Source organism: Homo sapiens, chromosome 7 (assembly GCF_000001405.40).
Source record: "Homo sapiens chromosome 7, GRCh38.p14 Primary Assembly".
NCBI classification, from domain to species: Eukaryota; Metazoa; Chordata; class Mammalia; order Primates; family Hominidae; genus Homo; species Homo sapiens.
The window spans coordinates 103,202,746-103,221,972 of record NC_000007.14 but is presented as its reverse complement, the minus strand read 5'-3'; the positions used below and the strand labels follow the sequence as shown (position 1 = coordinate 103,221,972).

The 19,227-nt window shown below is 35.9% G+C and overlaps 1 pseudogene across 2 annotated transcripts in view; it reads left to right on the top strand.

Annotated features, from left to right (window-relative positions):
• The window catches only part of DPY19L2P2 (DPY19L2 pseudogene 2), a 105,454-nt pseudogene that overhangs the window by 58,494 nt on the left and 27,733 nt on the right, over positions 1-19,227 (top strand). For both annotated transcript variants that reach the window (NR_027768.1, NR_003561.2), the window contains 4 exons: positions 5,430-5,510; positions 7,871-7,972; positions 9,741-9,812; positions 11,660-11,706. The product of NR_027768.1 is annotated as a DPY19L2 pseudogene 2, transcript variant 1 (transcript). The remainder of the gene's footprint in view (positions 1-5,429; positions 5,511-7,870; positions 7,973-9,740; positions 9,813-11,659; positions 11,707-19,227) is intronic.

Genomic DNA, 19,227 nt, shown 5'->3' with positions numbered 1-19,227 from the left:
AGCATAATGCTATAGAAAGGCAAACTAGTTAGGTACCTCAGAACTCACAGAAAAACACCACAGGCTGCCATCTCCTGAAACTCCATCCAGTGGCAGAAGACACTCAGAAAGAGGGTCCAGGGAAATGCTCTCCATGCTGTGGGTCTGGTATCTACTATTCCCTCCAAGAAGGCTTCCCATGCAGGTAGCAGCAGCAGGGATCTAACAGGTGCCCTGCTAGGACTAGGCAGCCCAGGAAGGAGCCCTCTGCTCTTTACCGACCTCCTAGCCCACAATCCTGGTGTCTCTCACCCTCCACCTCATGGCAACACGACATGGGAAGTACATTCTTCCTACATTGGTAGCATGATTTGGGGCTGAGACGGAGCACCAGGGCACCAGATGAATCAAGCTGACCAGAATAGCACTAGCACTGCAAAGGCTCTGAAAACTAAACTGTCATTGTAACTATAGCAAACAGAAGTAGGCCAGGACTTGCGTGATAAACCTAAAAACAAAGTGACTCTCTGCTGAAATAGAAATTTAAAAGAGGATCCACAGTCTCTAACATAATATAAAAATGTACTGGACACAGTAGAAAAACCACTCATCATAGCAAGAATGAAGAAAATAACAACTTGAATGAGAAAAGACAGTCAACAGATGTCAACACTGAGATGAATAGGATGTGGGGATTATGTGACAAGGTTTTTAAAGCAGTCATCATAAACACACTTCAATGAGCAGTTTTAAATACTCTGGAAGCAAATGAAAAGGCTATAAAAGCTCACCACAGAATTTTTTTTTTTTAAGAAAGAACAACTTGGCCGGGCACGGTGGCTCACGCCTGTAATCCCAGCACTTTGGGAGGCCGAGACGGGTGGATCACGAGGTCAGGAGATCGAGACCATCCTGGCTAACACGGTGAAACCCCGTCTCTACTAAAAATACAAAAATTACCCGGGCATGGTGGTGCGCGCCTGTAGTCCCAGCTACGCGGGAGGCTGAGGCAGGAGAATGGCGTGAACCCGGGAGGCGGAGCTTGCAGTGAGTCGAGATCGCACCACTGCACTCCAGCCTGGGCGACAGAGCGAAACTCCGTCTCAAAAAAAAAAAAAAAAGAAAGAACAACTTGGTGATTATAGAACTGAAAAATACAATAACTGAAATTAAAATTTAATAAGTGGACTTGGTAGCAGAGTGAATATTACAGAGGAAGCAATCAGTGCTCTTGAAGACAGAACAATAGAAATCTCCCAATCTAAATTGAGAGAAAATCACAGGAAAAAGGACAGAGCCTCCAGGACCTATGGTGTAGTAACAGAAGATCTAATATTTGTATCATCAAAATTTCAGAAGGAATGGAAAAAGAGAGTGGGGCTGAATAGTATTTTAAGAAGTAATTGCTAAAACTCCCCACATGTGGTGAAAGACACATCTGCAGAGTGAAGATAACTGAGCGATTCCCAAGTAAGACAAACCTAGAGAAATCCATGCAAAGATACATTATAAGTTAACTTTTAAAATGAAAAGAAAAAAATCTTGAAAGCAGGTATGGAGAAATGACACATCACCTACAGGGCAAAATTGAGTTGAATTGTAGCAGACTTCTTATGTGAAAATAAGGAAGCCAGAAGGTTGGGGCAGAACATTTGTCAAGATGAATTACATATCCAGTAGATGTTTCCTTTAGGAATGAAGGGGAAATAGACATTCTCTAATCAATGAAAATTAAGATAATTTGTGGCTAGCAGAGAACCTTAAAGAATGGTTAATTGAAGTTGTTTTGTAAGGTTTGTGGAAGACCAGATGGTTGTAGATACGTGGTTTTATTTCTGAGTTTTCTATTCTCTTCCATTGGTCTATGTGCCTGTTTTTGTACCAGTACCATGCTGTTTTGGTTATTGTAGCCTTGTGATATAGTTTGAAGTCAGGTAGCCTGAGGCCTCCAGCTTTGTTCTTTTTGCTTAGGATTGTCTTGGCTATATGAGCTCTTTTTTGATAGCATGGAATCAACCCAAATGTCCATGAATGATAGTCTGGATAAAGAAAATGTGATACATATATACCATGGAATATTATGCAGTCATAAAAAGAAATGAGATCATGTCCTTGGCAGGGACATGGATGGAGCTGGAAGCCATTATTCTCAGCAAACTAATGTAGGAACAGAAAACCAAACACTGCATGTTCTCACTTATAAGTGGGAGCTGAACAGTGAGAACAGATGGACACAGGGAGGGGAACAACACACACTGGGGCTTGTCAGGGGAGGGTAGGGCAAGGGAGAGCATCAGGAAAAATAGCTAATGAATGCTGGGCTTAATACCTAGGTAAAGGGTTGATAGGTGCAGCAAACCACCATGGCACACGTTTACCTGTGTAACAAACATGCATATCCTGCACATGTACCCTGGAACTTAAAATTTAAAAAGTTCTGGAAACAAAAAGGAAATGCAAGAAGGAATCCTAGAATGTAGGGAAGAAATATAAAACAGCAAAGTAGATACACAGAGGGGTAGATATAATAGACTCTTCTTCTCATGAGCATTTCCTTTCGTGTACTTTTTTTGCTTTATTTCGTTATTCTTTATTTAGATTTTTAAGTCAAGGATTTAATTCATTTATTTTCACTCTTTCATTTTTATTGATAAAGCTTTTGAAGCCATGAATTTGCTTCTTATCCTTGCTTTAAATGTATTCCTTAGTTTCCATATGGAAATGGCATTTGCCTGCCATGCTGCTGCCATCATTCTATTTTTCACCTTTCTGAATCTGTTTTTGTTTGTCTTCCCTGTGTAGCATAAATTGAGTCTGTCTTTGCTTTGTGAGATAATGTGAAAACCCTTGTTGTAAGTTTTATGTGTATTTGACTATATTTGCTTTGTTTCTGTATATGATTCTCTTTTATTTTAAACTTTTTTAATTTAGGAAAGTTACTGTTATTTCCTCAATTGTTGCATATTTGAAACTTTTTAAAATAACGTCTATACTTGAATGACAGATTGGCCAGATATAAAGTCCTTGGTTCTCAATTTTTAAAGTTTCTTAAAAATGCATCTACACCACTGCTTTGGTTTGTATGTTTCTTTTAACAAGTCTGATGCTAGCCAAATTCTTCTGTCCCTTATAAATTATGTGACTTTTGTGCCTGGAGGTTCTGAGGAATTTTTCTTCATTTTTCATAGTTCTACTGAAAGATGTCTTGAGTTAGTTTACCATACCAGATTAATTTTTTCCAGTACCCCCTGGATCCTTTCCAAATGTCGATTCAGGTCTTCTTTTATTTCTGGAAAGTTTTCTTGGATTATAATTTAAACACTAGTTTTGATTCATTGCTGTGGTTTTCTTTTTCAGGCACTCCGGTTATAATTATGTGCCTTTCTTCCATTTCTACCACTTTCTCTGATACTTCTCACTTCTTTCTCTGGTATCATTTTCATTCTTCATCATTGTTTTAGTGCCTTTACTTCAATTCCTTCATTATTTGAATTTTTCTTTTTATCATCTTGTGATTGTTTTTATTTTTTTTGATAGTATTCTCCTTTTCTTCCATTTCCTTTCTATGTCTAATAAACTCTTTATTTCTTTCTGCTTTTTTCCCCATTTCTATTCTTGGTTTTTGAATTTCTTGTTTAAATTGCTTTTTTAATATTTCTGAATGCTCATTTGAGGATATTTAGTTCAACTTTTAATTCTGCATTATTTTCTTCTGTTTTGCGAGATTTTATCATTCAGTGGTGTGGATTTCATTAGCTGAAATATTTGACTTTCATGTTTGTTATCTTCTTAAAGAAGCTTTGGATATTTATATAGGCATTTTTTCATCTATTAATTATTTTGTGTTTTCTAGTCCAGGTGCAAACCTCTTCTGAAAATGTAGCATAGTGTGATTTTTTTCAATGAATAACTTTCTTCTTTTTTTGTGCTTGATGGCAGTAGTGATGGATAGTCTTTTGGTTTGGGTTCTCATTTTTCCTGCTGGATACTTTTTCCTTCTTGCACTCCCCTTTTTATCCTCCTTTCTTTCCAGAAATGATGGCTTTCTAACATCGGTGTTTTTGTCCCTACTCACTCTTAGGGACTGCCTAATGCTCTGTACTCCCATTTACCAATCTCCCAGAGCTCTTTTTACACATAGGATGGACTTTTCTCTTTCTTGGGTTATTTTATTTCCAATTTTGACCCCTGTCTTTCCTTTTCTTCTTTATCCTTTTATGGGTCTCCCCTCATTCTCTGCAAAGGCTTAGGTCAGGGACTTGAGGTATAACTCTATAGATTCGTTGCCTCCTTTTCCATTCATAGGTAATTTGAAGTTTTTTGCCATGTATGTGGTTGTATTGCTGTACTTGTTGGTTGATATATGCAGAGATTTGAATTTAGGCTGCTATAACTTTCCCCAGGCTAACCAGAAGTACACAATTGTTCCCTTTTTAATCAAGGCTAGTCAAAAAATAAACAACAACAACAACACAGAAGCCTCATTGCCGTTGTAGTTCATATTCCTCTTTCTTAAAGGAAAGCTTAAGTTTTCACATTTCAAACAGTTATTTCTTGAAGATGGGCTCATATATTTCCACAGGAGTGGTAGAAGAACTTTTAAGGTAGTGTTTTAAAAAATGGATTTTCAGCTGAGAAATAATATTTGGAAACAAACACATAAACACTCCCTTTTCTTAACAGAAATCAAAAGGAAGTAACCTTTTAAAACTTCCTTTAGATTGGCTGGGTGCAGTGGCTCACGCCTGTAATCCTAGCACTTTGGGAGGCCGAGGCGGGTGGATCACGAGGTCAGGAGATCAAGACCATCCTGGCTAACACGGTGAAACCCCGTCTCTACTAAAAATACAAAAAATTAGCCAGGCATGGTGGCGGGTGCCTGTAGTCCCAGCTATTCGGGAGGCTGAGGCAGGAGAATGCCGTGAACCCGGGAGGCGGAACTTGCAGTGAGCAGAGATCGTGCCACTGCACTCCGGGCCTGGGGGACAGAGCGAGACTCCGTCTCAAAACAACAACAACAACAACAACAACAACAACAACAACAACAACAAAACTTCCTTTAGATTTAGGATATGTATAAGCAGCCACTTTTCCGATGCACACGGGGTTTTTTCTTTGTTCAAATCCCCCCTTCCTCTGTCTCTGTACGGGGAGCTGTTTTCTTCTTCCTTCTTTCTTTCTTGGCTATTAACCTTTCACTCAAGACAAAAAAAAAAAAAAAAAAAGATTTAGGATATGTAGAATTCTAGTGTTGCTATATATTTTATACCAGTGTCATCAGTTTTAATTCTTTGCTTTTAAACAAGATTTTCTAAAGGAACTTTTTTAAAAAACTTCACCATTTATACCTCACATAATTAAATTTTTTCTGTGTCATTTATAGATATAATTGAATACTTTAGCTGGGTGATTTGTAGTTTTAAATACTGGACTTCTATTTTATTTTCTAGCTAATTCAAGGTAGTGCCTGGTGGTGTGGAACAATCATTTTGAAATTTCTGACATCTAAAATCTTAGGCGTTTCAGACCATGTAAGTACTTTTTAGTTAAAACATAAAAGTTCTTATAAATATGTAGCTGAATGAAAACTTTGAAACCATCTATTCTTATCTCTTCATTTTACAGAAGTTAAGTGCCTTCTTTAAGGTCTCTAGACGAGTTATTGGCAGAGTCAATAATAAAGTCACTAAAAAGAAAAAATATTCATGAATGCTGACTTGCCCTTTTAGTAAAAACATATTAATAGTTTGTTAAGTAGTTATTTGTTTATATTTCAGTTAAAATACAAATAATTAGTTGTTTACATCATAAGTTATCCATTTATTGCAGATGTTAACATACGGGAGGCTGTCCTAAGCTTTGAAAATATAGAACTCTTAAAATCTCAGTATTGTTTTATTTATTTATAAGTATGGACTAAAATCAATGTATGATTTGATGTTTTAAGGCCTTTCTTGTTATATAAAAAGAGAATGTTAAAAAATTTTGATCTTTTCATTTTCTAGGAAATACATGCAGAGCATTTATCTCTCATGTAGTATTTCTGTTTGTTAATGTTTTAAAGAGTAGCCCTTTTCAAGGCCTAAGTCCCTGCTTAACTAACTGGTTTAGGGAATAGAAAACAATGCATGAATCTACTTTTTATTTCTAGCACTTTCTGTTTAGAAATAAGCATACATGAGTATATCATACAATAATCAATTTTGAAATTTACCTCATTTAATGCTATCCAATTAGGGCCCTGTTTGATGCTGAAATTATGTACTTTGGCAAGGGATTATAGTATTACTTCTCTAAAAGGTCAAATGCTATCTCTATGCAATACAACATGCAACATGTTTATATTAAATAAAATTTCTAAATGTAAGCATTTGCCATTTATTGCTAGTTTTGCATGGTGGTTTATTAGTTTATTTGTTGCTGCTGTTCTCTGGCATGTCTGACACATTTCCCCATTCTCCTTTCCTTTTTATTGTTTTTAACTTTATTATATATGTCTTATGATAAACTTTATTTAGACCTTCTAAGTTATTTATTTATCTGTTAAGTTTGTTCATGATTATGTTTCTTGCCTTACTTCACGTTGACCCCCAGCTCTTTACAAATCTAAATCTTTTTTTTTTTTTTTTTTGAAACACAGTCTCACGCTGTCACCCAGGCTGGAGTGCAGTGGCCAATCTCGGGTCATAGCAACCTCCATCTCCTGGGTTCAAGTGATTCTTGTGCCTCAGCTTCCTGAGTAGCTGAGATTATAGGCATGTGCCACCATACCCGGCTAATTTTTGTATTATTAGTAGAGATGGGGTTCCACCATGTTGGCCAGCCTGGTCTCAAACTCCTGACCTCAAGTGATCCGCCTGCCTTGGCCTCCCAAAGTGCTGGTGATTACAGGTGTGAACCACCATGCCTGCCCTACAAATTAAAAAAAAAAAAAAAGCAAACACACTTCCTTGGTAGTCCTGAGTGACTTCCTTTATGTGACAGTTACGAGGAATACCTGAAATTATAGTGGTTTGGTTAAATTACTATTAGTCACCAGGCCTATTCTAAATTAGAAAAATAAAGTGCAACTCTAAATTATCCTTGAGTACTGGTAAATTAGGAAAAATAATTGAATGAAAACCACTCATAATCATCAAATTTGTTATAAAATAATTTCTGTCACTATAAAATAATTTGAATTAAGAGTTTACTTGCCAAATATTTTCCTTTTTCTGGCCTTCTGAGGATGCTGTGGAAAAATAATTGTCTCACCAAGAGCAGGTTGTAAATAATAGTAGAAAAATAGAAGTTCTGCATTGGGTTTGGTTGTTGGTATCTACTTTTAGCCTTGGAGATCAAATAGCTAAGTCAAAGATCAAAGTGGTGTGTATAACTGTTGTAATTCTTATGAGGATCAGGTCTCATATGCAATGGTTTGAATATATGTCTGTAAAACATCAAGAAGTACCAAATATTGTAATCAGTCTGCAAGGCTTTGTGAAAATGACAGTGCACAGAAAGCTTATGACCTACAATGTATGTTGAAAGAGGTTAAGTAAAACAGTTTTTCATGATAAATTGTCTTATTATAAAATATAATTAACTACATGGTGGTTTCTTCTCAGCAGATATTGATTTTAGCTCACTCTTTATCATCTTCTCTTTATTTTTTCTGACTTCTTTCTACTTTTCATTTTTCATGATATTTCTCTTTATTTTCAGTTATCTTGAGAAGTCAGCACATCGTATATTTGGTTCACTGTAGTTTTTTGTTTTCTTAGTGGGATGTCTAAATACATTGGATTTATCTGTTCTATAAACTTTGTTATTCTTACATCAATAAAGTATTACTGGCTAAGGCTATAATCATTTGTGTAATTTTAATTCATTTTACTTTATTTTCTCCCAGATTTGCCTGAGTGATCTTATAGCAGCCGGAATCTTAAGGTATACAGATTTTGATACTTTAAAATACACCTGTTCTCCCGAATTTGACTTCATGGAAAAAGCGGTATGAATGTTTCTTTTTTCCTTCTCTACTAATATGAGTTTTTGCTCTAGGTTTTTTTAAAATCTGAAACTCAAAATTTTTGCTCAGAAACAGTCAACTTATTTTATATTTTTTTACTGTAACTTTTGCTAATCTACCTTCCTCACTTGTTTTTTTGTCTGTTGAAAAAAAAAAGATAGCCTCTATCTTATAGAGTTATTGATGATGGTTAAATGAGATAATCTGAGAAGAGTGTTTAACATACTATATGACCCATAATAATTACTATTATTCCAAATCAATTACTTTTAATAATCTAGGCCACTTGGAAATATGGGACCATTCAGGAAAAAGTCTAAATTCTTGTTTCTGTTTTTAAGAAATTCAGTTTTATTACAGTTAACACCCCAAATATTATAACATTTTTAACAAGGTGTTACCAAGAAAGGTATGCTACTGATGAGTTTTAATGAACATATAAAAATTCATTTTAAATTATACAAATGCAAGGTATTATTCTTTTTAAAAAGTTCATGTTATAAAGCTTTAAAATATAGGCTGGGCGTGGTGGTTCATCCCTGTAATCCCAGCACTTAGGGATGCTGAGGCGGGTAGATCACTTGAGGTCAGGAGTTTGAGACCAGCCTGGCCAACATGGTGGTAACTCCATCTCTACTAAAAATACAAAAATTAACCAGGCATGTTGGTGCATGCCTGTAGTCCCAGCCTGAGTAGGAGGCTGAGACAGGAGAATTGCTTGAACCCTGGAGGCGGAGATTGCAGTGAGCTGAGATCGCATCATTGCACTCCAGCCTGGGTGACAGAGTGAGACTCTGTATCAAAAAAAAAGAAAAAAAAATTGGCCTCTTTGTAGAATCATGGAACACAAGATCAGGAAGGGCTCTTAGAGACCATGCCATATAGTTCTTTCATTTGCAGATAAAGAAAAGCTTAAAAGGTTTGCCTAAAGCACACACAAGCCAAGATCAGGACATGGATTCTAATGGATTCTGGAACTCTCAATCCAGGGCTCTTTCCTCTATTTGTAGCTTAATTTTCTTCATAGAACATAACAAAGTTGCTACTGGATTGATTATTCCTTGTGTAATCATTATGAATTCTGAATTAGTGGTAAATAATAAAATTTTACATTCTTCTCTTATCCATCCAACCAGTCATCCCATTCATTCAAAAACTATTATTGACCACTAGTTATCCATGAGGCGGTTTGCTATAGCACAACAAAGAGGAAAATGAACTGGTTTCTTGCTTTTAAGAAATGTATAATTTAGTTACATGGTAAATTACTCCTTATCACAATAACAGGTCATCAGAATTAGTTAGCCAATGTTATTTCTGTACTTATGCATAGTTTTAGTCATTAACTTTGGTTAGCTTTCTTTCTTGTTAGCTCTAGTTTCACTAATGAAAATAATGGAGCTGTGTAGTACAGAAAGTTACAATGTAGGACCCAGGGATCGGTAAACACACATTTTAAAACTTAGTATTATGTAAATAAAAAAAAGAAAAGAAAAAATAGATATAGCAATTCTAGTTTTATTAAAATAATAAATTTTTCATTAAATTTTTGGAATACTTTTTATAACTATTTTTATAATTTTAATTATTTCATTAAGGCATGGAAGACAATAAATATATATTCTGCTGATGACAAAGAAATTTAACCTTTTACTTTTAAGGAATGTTATCATGGCACTTAGTTTGACATAGATGTTTACTAATTTAATGTAAAAATTGTAACTATTTTGAATAATTTGGTATATTTCAGACTCTGCTGATATACACAAAGACATTATTGCTTCCAGTTGTTATGGTGATTACATGTTTTATCTTTAAAAAGGTATTTTTAAACAAATTATTATTTGTTTTTGGCATCAATATAAGGACTATAATAATGCAAATTGCTCAGAATTCCATGTTATTTTTAGGATGAACTCTTCCTCTCTCTAAAAGTTTGCTTTTTATTTAGATCTTTCATCATCGATCTTTTTATAAAAAGCCATGATAAAAGGTATTCTTATTTTTTCTTTCAAAAGATATATACCAGTCACCAACTGTGTATCAAGGACTAAATTAACATTGTAGGTACACCCGGACAAATAAAACGTGGCCGCTCCTGTCTTGGAACTTACAATCCTGGATTATTGGGGGTGGGGGTGCAAACATGAAGCAAATAATCCCACAAACGTCTAAAGAATTAAAATTTTTATAGGTGCTATGAAAGAAAAGTCTAGTGACAACAATGTTAGTATCTTTCAAATATAAAGCACAGTGAAGTCTTGATCTATTTTGAGTGAGTCTGCGTAGAAGAAATCTGTATAGCTAATTAAAAAATACTTTTCTACATGTTCACTGTTTTCATGACAGAAGAAAAGAACATCTCAATGAAAAAAATAATCTTTAAAATACCACTGGTAGGTTTTCTTGGTCTGGGTGGAGTTTATCTAAAAGCATGGTTAAAGACAGTGGGTATTTTTTTAAGCAGTCTTGAGCCATCTTTATTTATATTATTTACAAGCTATGAAGTCTTAAGCCAGTATGTATTTATTGTATACTTTTAAGCAGATAACAATAATGTGATTTCCCCACCACCATACCAGTTGTGTTCTTGTTGAAAGGAGTTTTCTGTATTTACAGTCAAATTGCATATCTTCTCTATGTAGTTTTAGTTGCCACACTTCTCACTCCTTTGTTTACACAGAGATGTGAGTAATTTAAGAGTGAGAAAGGCATCTCCCTCGACATCTCTGTTGTTTCACCCTCGATCCAGTTCCCTGCGGACCACGTGGAAAGAGTCAGGATAAAGGAAATAAGGAGGAATGAGTAAAATGTGAGCAGGTTTACTGCCCTGCATCCTTTCGGCCCATGCTGGCTTAGAATGAAGATTTTCTCTACTGGCCTGTTTCTTTTCCATCAAGGCAAAATGTCGAATTATTCTTCTAAGGCTCCACTTAGAGGGGCCAATGCATGAATTAACTATTCAGCGGAGAGTCAGCAATGTGAGAGAAACTGATAGCTAGATCTGCAACTGCTATATTTTAAAAAATTAAGATCCAAGACTTATAAATACATTACTAGTTTCCAGACACACCACAACCTGAACTATGCATGTGCACTAGCAGGGGCATGTGCATACACACACACACACACGCACACACATGTCCCTGCAGCCAGTCAAGTTTCATACACACACACGCACACGCACATACACACATACAAACATCCCTACAGCTAGCCAAGTTTCATACACACATACACACATATACACACACACACACACACAAAAATCCCTGTAGCTGGCCAAGTTTCATACACACACACACACACACTCTCTCTCTCTCTCTCTCTCTCTCTCTCTCTCTCTCTCTCTCATCCCTGCAGCCAGCCAAGTTTCACTCCTTCCTTTCTGCTTTCTTATAAACCCCTCAGTCTTTATTTGTCCTGTTGTGGCTTACTTTTCACCCCAAGGATACTTCTGAAGGTCATTTAGTTTTCAATGATGTGAAGTCACTTCTCAGAAGGAGAAAAGGAAGACATCTATAGTATGACCATCCTGTTCCTGAGGACTCCCTTAAACATTAAAAGAATACTTCTTTCCTTGGCGGAGTGTTTATATTAATGAATCAGAGCATTTTAAATATTGCAGTATTCCTTACAAAAGTTTCATTGATTTGATTCTATTCACAGACTGTTGGTGATATTTCGCGTGTTTTAGCTACAAACGTTTATCTAAGGTAATTATATCATCATTGTTTTTAAAACATACAGTATTCCATTATTAAATAATTTACTGTAGCATTAATTTTTCAAATGAATATGCATTAAACTTTAGCATTATGATTAAGAAAGGAGATATGAACCAAACTTAAATGTTTCCTTAAAAATATTATTCTTACAGATTTCTTACATGTATTTGGACTTGTTTTGGAGAAATTTATATTTGTGAACTAACTCAAAGTTTAAATTGATAAATTATAATATATGATTAGAATTTAAAGTCAGTAAGCTAAAGATTTATTTTTTTATTTTTATTTTGTATTATTATTATACTTTAAGTTTTAGGGTACATGTGCACAATGTGCAGGTTAGTTACATGTGTATGCATGTGCCATGCTGGTGTGCTGCACCCACTAACTTGTCATTTAGCATTAGGTATATCTCCTAAAGCTATCCGTCCCCCCTCCCCCTACCCCACAACAGTCCCCAGAGTGTGATGTTCCCCTTCCTGTGTCCATGTGTTCTCATTGTTCAGTTCCCACCTATGAGTGAGAATATGCGGTGTTTGGTTTTTTGTTCTTGCGATAGTTTACTGAGAATGATGATTTCCAATTTCATCCATGTCCCTACAAAGGACATGAACTCATCATTTTTTATGGCGACATAGTATTCCATGGTGTATATGTGCCACATTTTCTTAATCCAGTCTATCATTGTTGGACATTTGGGTTGGTTCCAAGTCTTTGCTATTGTGAATAGTGCCACAATAAACATACGTGTGCATGTCTTTATAGCAGCATGATTTATAGTCCTTTGAGTATATACCCAGTAATGGGATGGCTGGGTCAAATGGTATTTCTACTTCTAGATCCCTGAGGAATCGCCACACTGACTTCCACAATGGTTGAACTAGTTTACAGTTCCGCCAACAATGTAAAAGTGTTCCTATTTCTCCATATCCTCTCCAGCACCTGTTGTTTCCTGACTTTTTAATGATTGCCATTCTAATTGGTGTGAGATGGTATCTCATTGTGGTTTTGATTTGCATTTCTCTGACGGCCAGTGATGGTGAGGATTTTTTCATGTGTTTTTTGGCTGCATAAATGTCTTCTTTTGAGAAGTGTCTGTTCATGTCCTTTGCCCACTTTTTGATGGGGTTGTTTGTTTTTTTCTTGTAAATTTGTTTGAGTTCATTGTAGATTCTGGATATTAGCCCTTTGTCAGATGAGTAGCTTGCGAAAATGTTCTCCCATTTTGTTGGTTGCCTGTTCACTCTGATGGTAGTTTCTTTTGCTATGCAGAAGCTCTTTAGTTTAATTAGATCCCATTTGTCAATTTTGGCTTTTGTTGCCGTTGCTTTTGGTGTTTTAGACATGAAGTCCTTGCCCATGCCTATGTCCTGAATGGTAATGCCTAGGTTTTCTTCTGTGGTTTTTATGGTTTTAGGTCTAACGTTTAAGTCTTTAATCCATCTTGAATTGATTTTTGTATAAGGTGTAAGGAAGGGATCCAGTTTCAGCTTTCTACATATGGCTAGCCAGTTTTCCAAGCACCATTTATTAAATAGGGAATCCTTTCCCCATTACTTGTTTTTCTCAGGTTTGTCAAAGATCAGATAGTTGTAGATATGTGGCATTATTTCTGAGGACTCTGTTCTGTTCCATTGATCTATATCTCAGTTTTGGTACCAGTACCATGCTGTTTTGGTTACTGTAGCCTTGTAGTATAGTTTGAAGTCAGGTAGCATGATGCCTCCAGCTTTGTTCTTTTGGCTTAGGATTGACTTGGCAATGCGGGCTCTTTTTTGGTTCCATATGAACTTTAAAGTAGTTTTTTCCAATTCTGTGAAGAAAGTCATTGGTAGCTTGATGGGGATGGCATTGAATCTATAAATTACCTTGGCAATTTTTGGAATTCGTCCCTCCCTCCCTTCCTCCCTTCCTTCCTTCCTGCCTTCCTTCCTTCTCTCTCCCTGTTTTGTCTTGTCTTTCCTCTTCTCTTCTCTTGTTTTTTCTTTTCTTTTCTCTTTTCTTTTTTCTTTTCTCTTCTCTTGTCTTCCCTTCTCTTCTCTTCTTTTCTTTTCACAGAGTCTTGCTCTGTCACCCAGGCTGGAGTGCAGTGGCATGATCTCTGCTCACTGCAGCCTGGACATCCTGGGCTCACGCGATCATCTCATCTCAGCTCTGCCAAGCAGCTGGGACTACAGGTGTGCATCACCATGCCCAGCTAATTTTTGTATTTTTTTGTAGAGAGGGGGTTTCACCATGTTGGTCAGGGTTTTCTTTTTCTTTCTTTTTTTAACTTTCAGAGGGGGTAAAATTATTTGTGTTCCTGAATATTTATGAATTTTCTTCTAAACTTATTGTTGAAACTATTTATTGTATAACAATTCTGGATGGTTTTAGTAATGTCACTAGCATAAGCAGATGCCAGCAAAATATATCATATCAGTCACACATAAGTAAATTGCTACAAGGCTCAAGAAGTAAATTGTGAAGAAAATTTCCTTCTGAGGGAAATATGATCTCAAATGACATGTTTTTTAGTGTTCAACTTTTATTTTAGATGCAGGGGGCACATGTATAGGCTTGTTACATGGGTATATTGTACCCAGGTAGTGAGCATAGTACCTAATAGTAATTTTCAAGTTACATTTTATATTTGTAAATAGAATATTTGATTTTATTTTGTGACTTCTACTTTATAGAATAGTTTTAGATTTATAGAAAAATTGTGAAGATAGTAGAAAGAATTTCTATGAACTCCATACTCCATGCTTGTATTTTTAATAAACAGCTGTGTATGGTTGTCAGAAGAGCTAATTAAGCTCTTAGGTGCGTCTGTTGAAATTCTTTCCAAAATAAAGGGGATAATAGACCCATTCTACATTGTTCTGGACAGATGGAGCCCAGGGAAATGGGTCTTGGCATTCTAAAAAAGAATGAATGGAGAACCCTGGACACTGTTCCCATAAGGAGTGCATGAAGGGTCTTGGAATATTTAACTGGATAATAGAAGATTGAAGGGTATGTGGCAACTGTCTTCATATGTTGCAGAGGGTGTAATGTGGAAGTGACAGACTCGGAGGGATCAGTGGATGGAAGATAATTACTCAGAATATGGAAGTCTATGTATTGATTACATATTTGAAAGTGACAGGCCTGTTGTGTGTGGGCAGAGGGTTCTGGGTTAAATCTCAAAAATAATAATAGCAGAGGCTAGTAGTAATACATTCTGAAAAACCAGTGTATCAAAAAGAGAGGGAATACTCCCCTCTCTTAGATCTGCTCCCCTGAGTGCTGATTGTAAGTAGCTTTGTATGTTTTATTTTAGAAAACACATATAGAAACACAATATTTTTAAAAAATAGAATTGTATTCTACTTATTCTGTAACTTGTTACTTGTATTTAATAGTGTGTCTTGGGCCTCTTCCTTGATCTTCATTATATTTTATAATGGTCTTAGGATTTTATTGTTGACCATCATGCATGACTGCCTTTCCCATATCAATGAAAGTTTAGATTATATATAACTTTTGTCATAAAAAAACCAATGTTTTGAGGATTGAACATCCTGGTTTGTGTATCTTGGTAGACTTATTCTAAGTATTTCTATAGTATAAAATATTTGAATTTGGACTGCTGATTATGAGGCCTGCATATTTTAGAATTTGTTAAAACTGAGAAATTATAATGATGAGAGTGTCCATTTCTCTGCAACTCCACCAACATCGTTATCAAGCTTTTAATTTTTTCTGATAGGTAAAAACAATTCATTTTATTGTATAAATTCTATGTCAGTGGAGTTTTGCAGCTTTTCATGTGTTTGTTTACTATGTTTCTTTTTGACCTTTAAAAGTTGTTTTGTGGGTTGTTTTTTTTTTTTTCTTTTCATCTCGCTGCTGTGTATGCAGTGGCACAATCTCGGCTCACTGCAACCTCTGCCTCCGGGGTTCAAGCAATTCTCCTGCCCCACCCTCTGGAGTAGCTGGGATAACAGGCACCCGTCATCACACTCAGCTAATTTTTGTATTCTTAGTAAACACAGGGTTTTGCCATGTTGGCCAGGCTGGTCTTGAACTCCTGACCTCAAGTGATCCAGCCACTTGGGCCTCCCAAAGTGCTGAGATTGCAGGCATGAGCCACTGTGCCCGGCTATGTGTTATGTTTTTGCTTTTTCCATAGACATAACATTTTGTCTCTTATGTGTATTACACAGTTTCTTCCAAAATGTCAACTTATAGTTCATTTATGGTCTCTGCTTTGTAGAACTTCAAAGTTTCTGTACAATCACAGTTATATATTTTTTCTGGGTTCATATGTTGCTTAGAAACACTTCCCTACACCAAAAACATGAAATTTTTTTTCATATTTTCTTTCATAAGTTTCTATTTACATAGAGGTTATTTATTACTCTTGCATTAATTTTGTGGTATAGTGACATAGAGGAGTCTACCTTTCCCCCTCTAGTGAGGTATTGTCCCAACACAGTATTGCATAAATCTTTTTTCCAAATGTCAGCTTTTATCACTTATCAATTCTCATTGTACTTGAGTCTGTTTTAGATTGTCTGTTATACTGATCTTTTAGTTTATAGGAAAGCTGCTTTACTTTTTTTTTTTTTTTTGCAACACGTTTTTATCTAGCCATGTTACCAAACTTTCTTTCTGGTTCTAATAGTTTTTCCATTGATGCTCTGGATTTTCTAGGCAGGTTATCATATAATCTACAAATAGTAATAACTTTCTAATATTTATACTTCTTTACTTTCTTGTCTTGTGTATTAGCTAGAACTTCCAGAACAACTTTGAATTGCAGTGATGATGGGCTTGCCCTTATTTTGTTTCTGACTCTAAAGTGAAGAATGCCTTTAGTGTCTCACTGTTTCATTTGCTGTTAGTATATAATGGATAGCCTTTATTTCATTAAGAAAGTTTCCTTGGCCAGGCGCGGTGGCTCATGCCTGTAATACCAGCATTTTGGGAGGCCAAGGTGGGCGGATCACGAGGTCAGGAGATTGAGGCCATCCTGGCTAACATGGTGAAACCCCGTCTCTACTAAAAATACAAAAAATTAGCTGGGCGTTGTGGTGGGCGCCTGTAGTCCCAGCTACTCTGTAGGCTAAGGCAGGAGAATGACATGAACCCGGGAGGCGGAGGTTTCAGTGAGCTGAGATTGTGTCACCGCACTCCAGCCTGGGAGACAGAGTGAGACTCCATCTCAAAAAAAAAAAAAAAAAGAAAAAAAGAAAGTTTCCTTTTGGTTTATATAAACCAGGATAATTTTAAAAATTAAATTAAAGATAGATGTTGAAAGTGTATAATGTGTGAATTGTAACTCAATAAAGCAGTAAAAAATGAATGTTAAATTTTTTAAAAATGGCTTTAAAAATATTTTGGGGATTATTATATATTTTTTCTCCTTATTAATAACTACACTTGTTTTTAAAATTTGGTAAGAATGCTTAACATGTGATCTACCCTCTTAACGATTTTTTAATTGTATAATACAGTATTGTGGACTATAAGTATAACATTCTATAGTCGATCTCTCAAACTTATTCATCTGGCTTAACTGAAGCTTTAAGCCTGTTGACTAGTAACTCTCCATTTCCCCTTGTCTCAGCCCCTGGTGACACCCTTCCACTCTTTCACTCTATGACTTTGACTATTTTAGATACCTCATGTAAGTGGAATTTTGCATTATATATCTTGTGGGGTTGGCTTACTTCAGTTAGCATAATGCCCTTCAGGTTCATCCATGCTGTCTCACATTGAAGAATTTCCTACTTTTTTTTTTGGGCTGAACAATATTCCATTGTTTTTGTATGCCGCATTTTCATTATTCGTCTGTTGATGGACATTTAGTCGGTTTCCACATCTTGACTACTATGAATAGCACTGCAGTGAACATGAGAGTGCTAGTATCTTGTTGAGATTTTGATTTCAACTGTTTTGGATAAATACCTAGAAGTGGGATTACTGGATTTTATGGTAGTTCTACTTTTAATTTTTTAAAGATTTTTTTTGGTGAACCTCCATCCTGTATTCCATAGCAGGTGCACCATTTGAAATTCCACCTGTGCAGGGATTTCAATTTCTCTACATTCTTGCCAACACTTACTACCTTTTGTTTTTTGGATAATGTCTATCCTGACATGTACACTAGAGTTGTAATCTTTCTGCTGGTAGAAGGTCTTGCTTCAATGGTGATAGCTTCAGACTGATCAGGTGGCCGTGGCAATTTCTTAAAATAAGACAATGAAGTTTGCCACATTGATTGACTCTTCCTTTCGTGAAAAATTTCTCTGTAGCATACAATGCTGTTTGATAGCATTTTACCAACAGTAGAACTACTTTCAAAATTGGAGTCAGTCCTCTCAAACCCTGCCACGCTTTATCAACCAAATTTATGTCATCTTCTGAATCCTTTGTTTTCACTTCAACAATGTTCACAGCATGTTCACCAGGAGTAGATTCTATCTCAAGAAACCACTCTCTTTGCTTATCCATAAGAAGCAACTCCTCATCCATTAAAGTTTTATCATGAGATTGCAGCAATTCAGTCACGTCTTCAGGCTCTACTTCTAATTCAAGTTCTCTTGCTGTTTCCACCACATCTGGAATGACTTCCTCTGCTGAAGTCTTGGACCCCTCAGTGTCACCCATGAGGGTTGGAATCATTTTTAATGTTATATGAGAAGAAAGCATTCTAAGAAAATGACAGATAAAGTAGAAAATAAGTTGGAATCAACTGCTTCCCATCTCTTATTGATGTCAGTATTTTGACCTCCATCCACGAATCACAAATATCCTTAATGGCATCTAGAATGGTGAATCATTTCCAGAAGATTTTCAATTTACCCAAATCCATCAGAGGAATCACTATCTATGACAGCTATAGCCTTATGAAATATATTTCTTAGATAACAAGACTTGAAAGTTGAAATGACTCCTTGATCCAGCCTGCTTTCCTGCAACTTTAATCTCCTTGTCCATCTCTATCAGAGCTCTTGGGTGACCAGCCACATTGTCAATGAGCAATAATATTTTGAAAGGAATCTTTTTTTCTGGGAAGTAGGTCTCAAGAGTGGGTTTAAAATATTCAGTAAAACATGCTGTGACAGATGTGCTGTCATCCAGGCTTTGTTGTTCCATTTGTAGAGTAGAGGCAGAGTAGATTTAGCATAATTCTGAAAAAAGGCCTCAGGATTTTCAAAGTGGTAAATGAACATTGGCTTCAACTGAAAGTCACCAGCTGCATTAGTCCATAACAAGGTCATTCTTTTTTGGATTTTTCATAAAACCAGCTTTTGGTTTTATTCCTTATATTTATGAAGGTTGTTCTCCATTTTATTAATCTCTGCTTATATGTTTATGTCCTTAGTTTTTCTTTTGGTGCACTTTTGTTTTTCTGTGTCTAAAGTTCACATCATTTATTATCAATCATTATTGTGTCCTAGTAAATACATTTAAAGTTATAACTTTTTCTCTGAAGAAAACGCACACTGTATCCCATGATGTGTGTAGCATTACCAT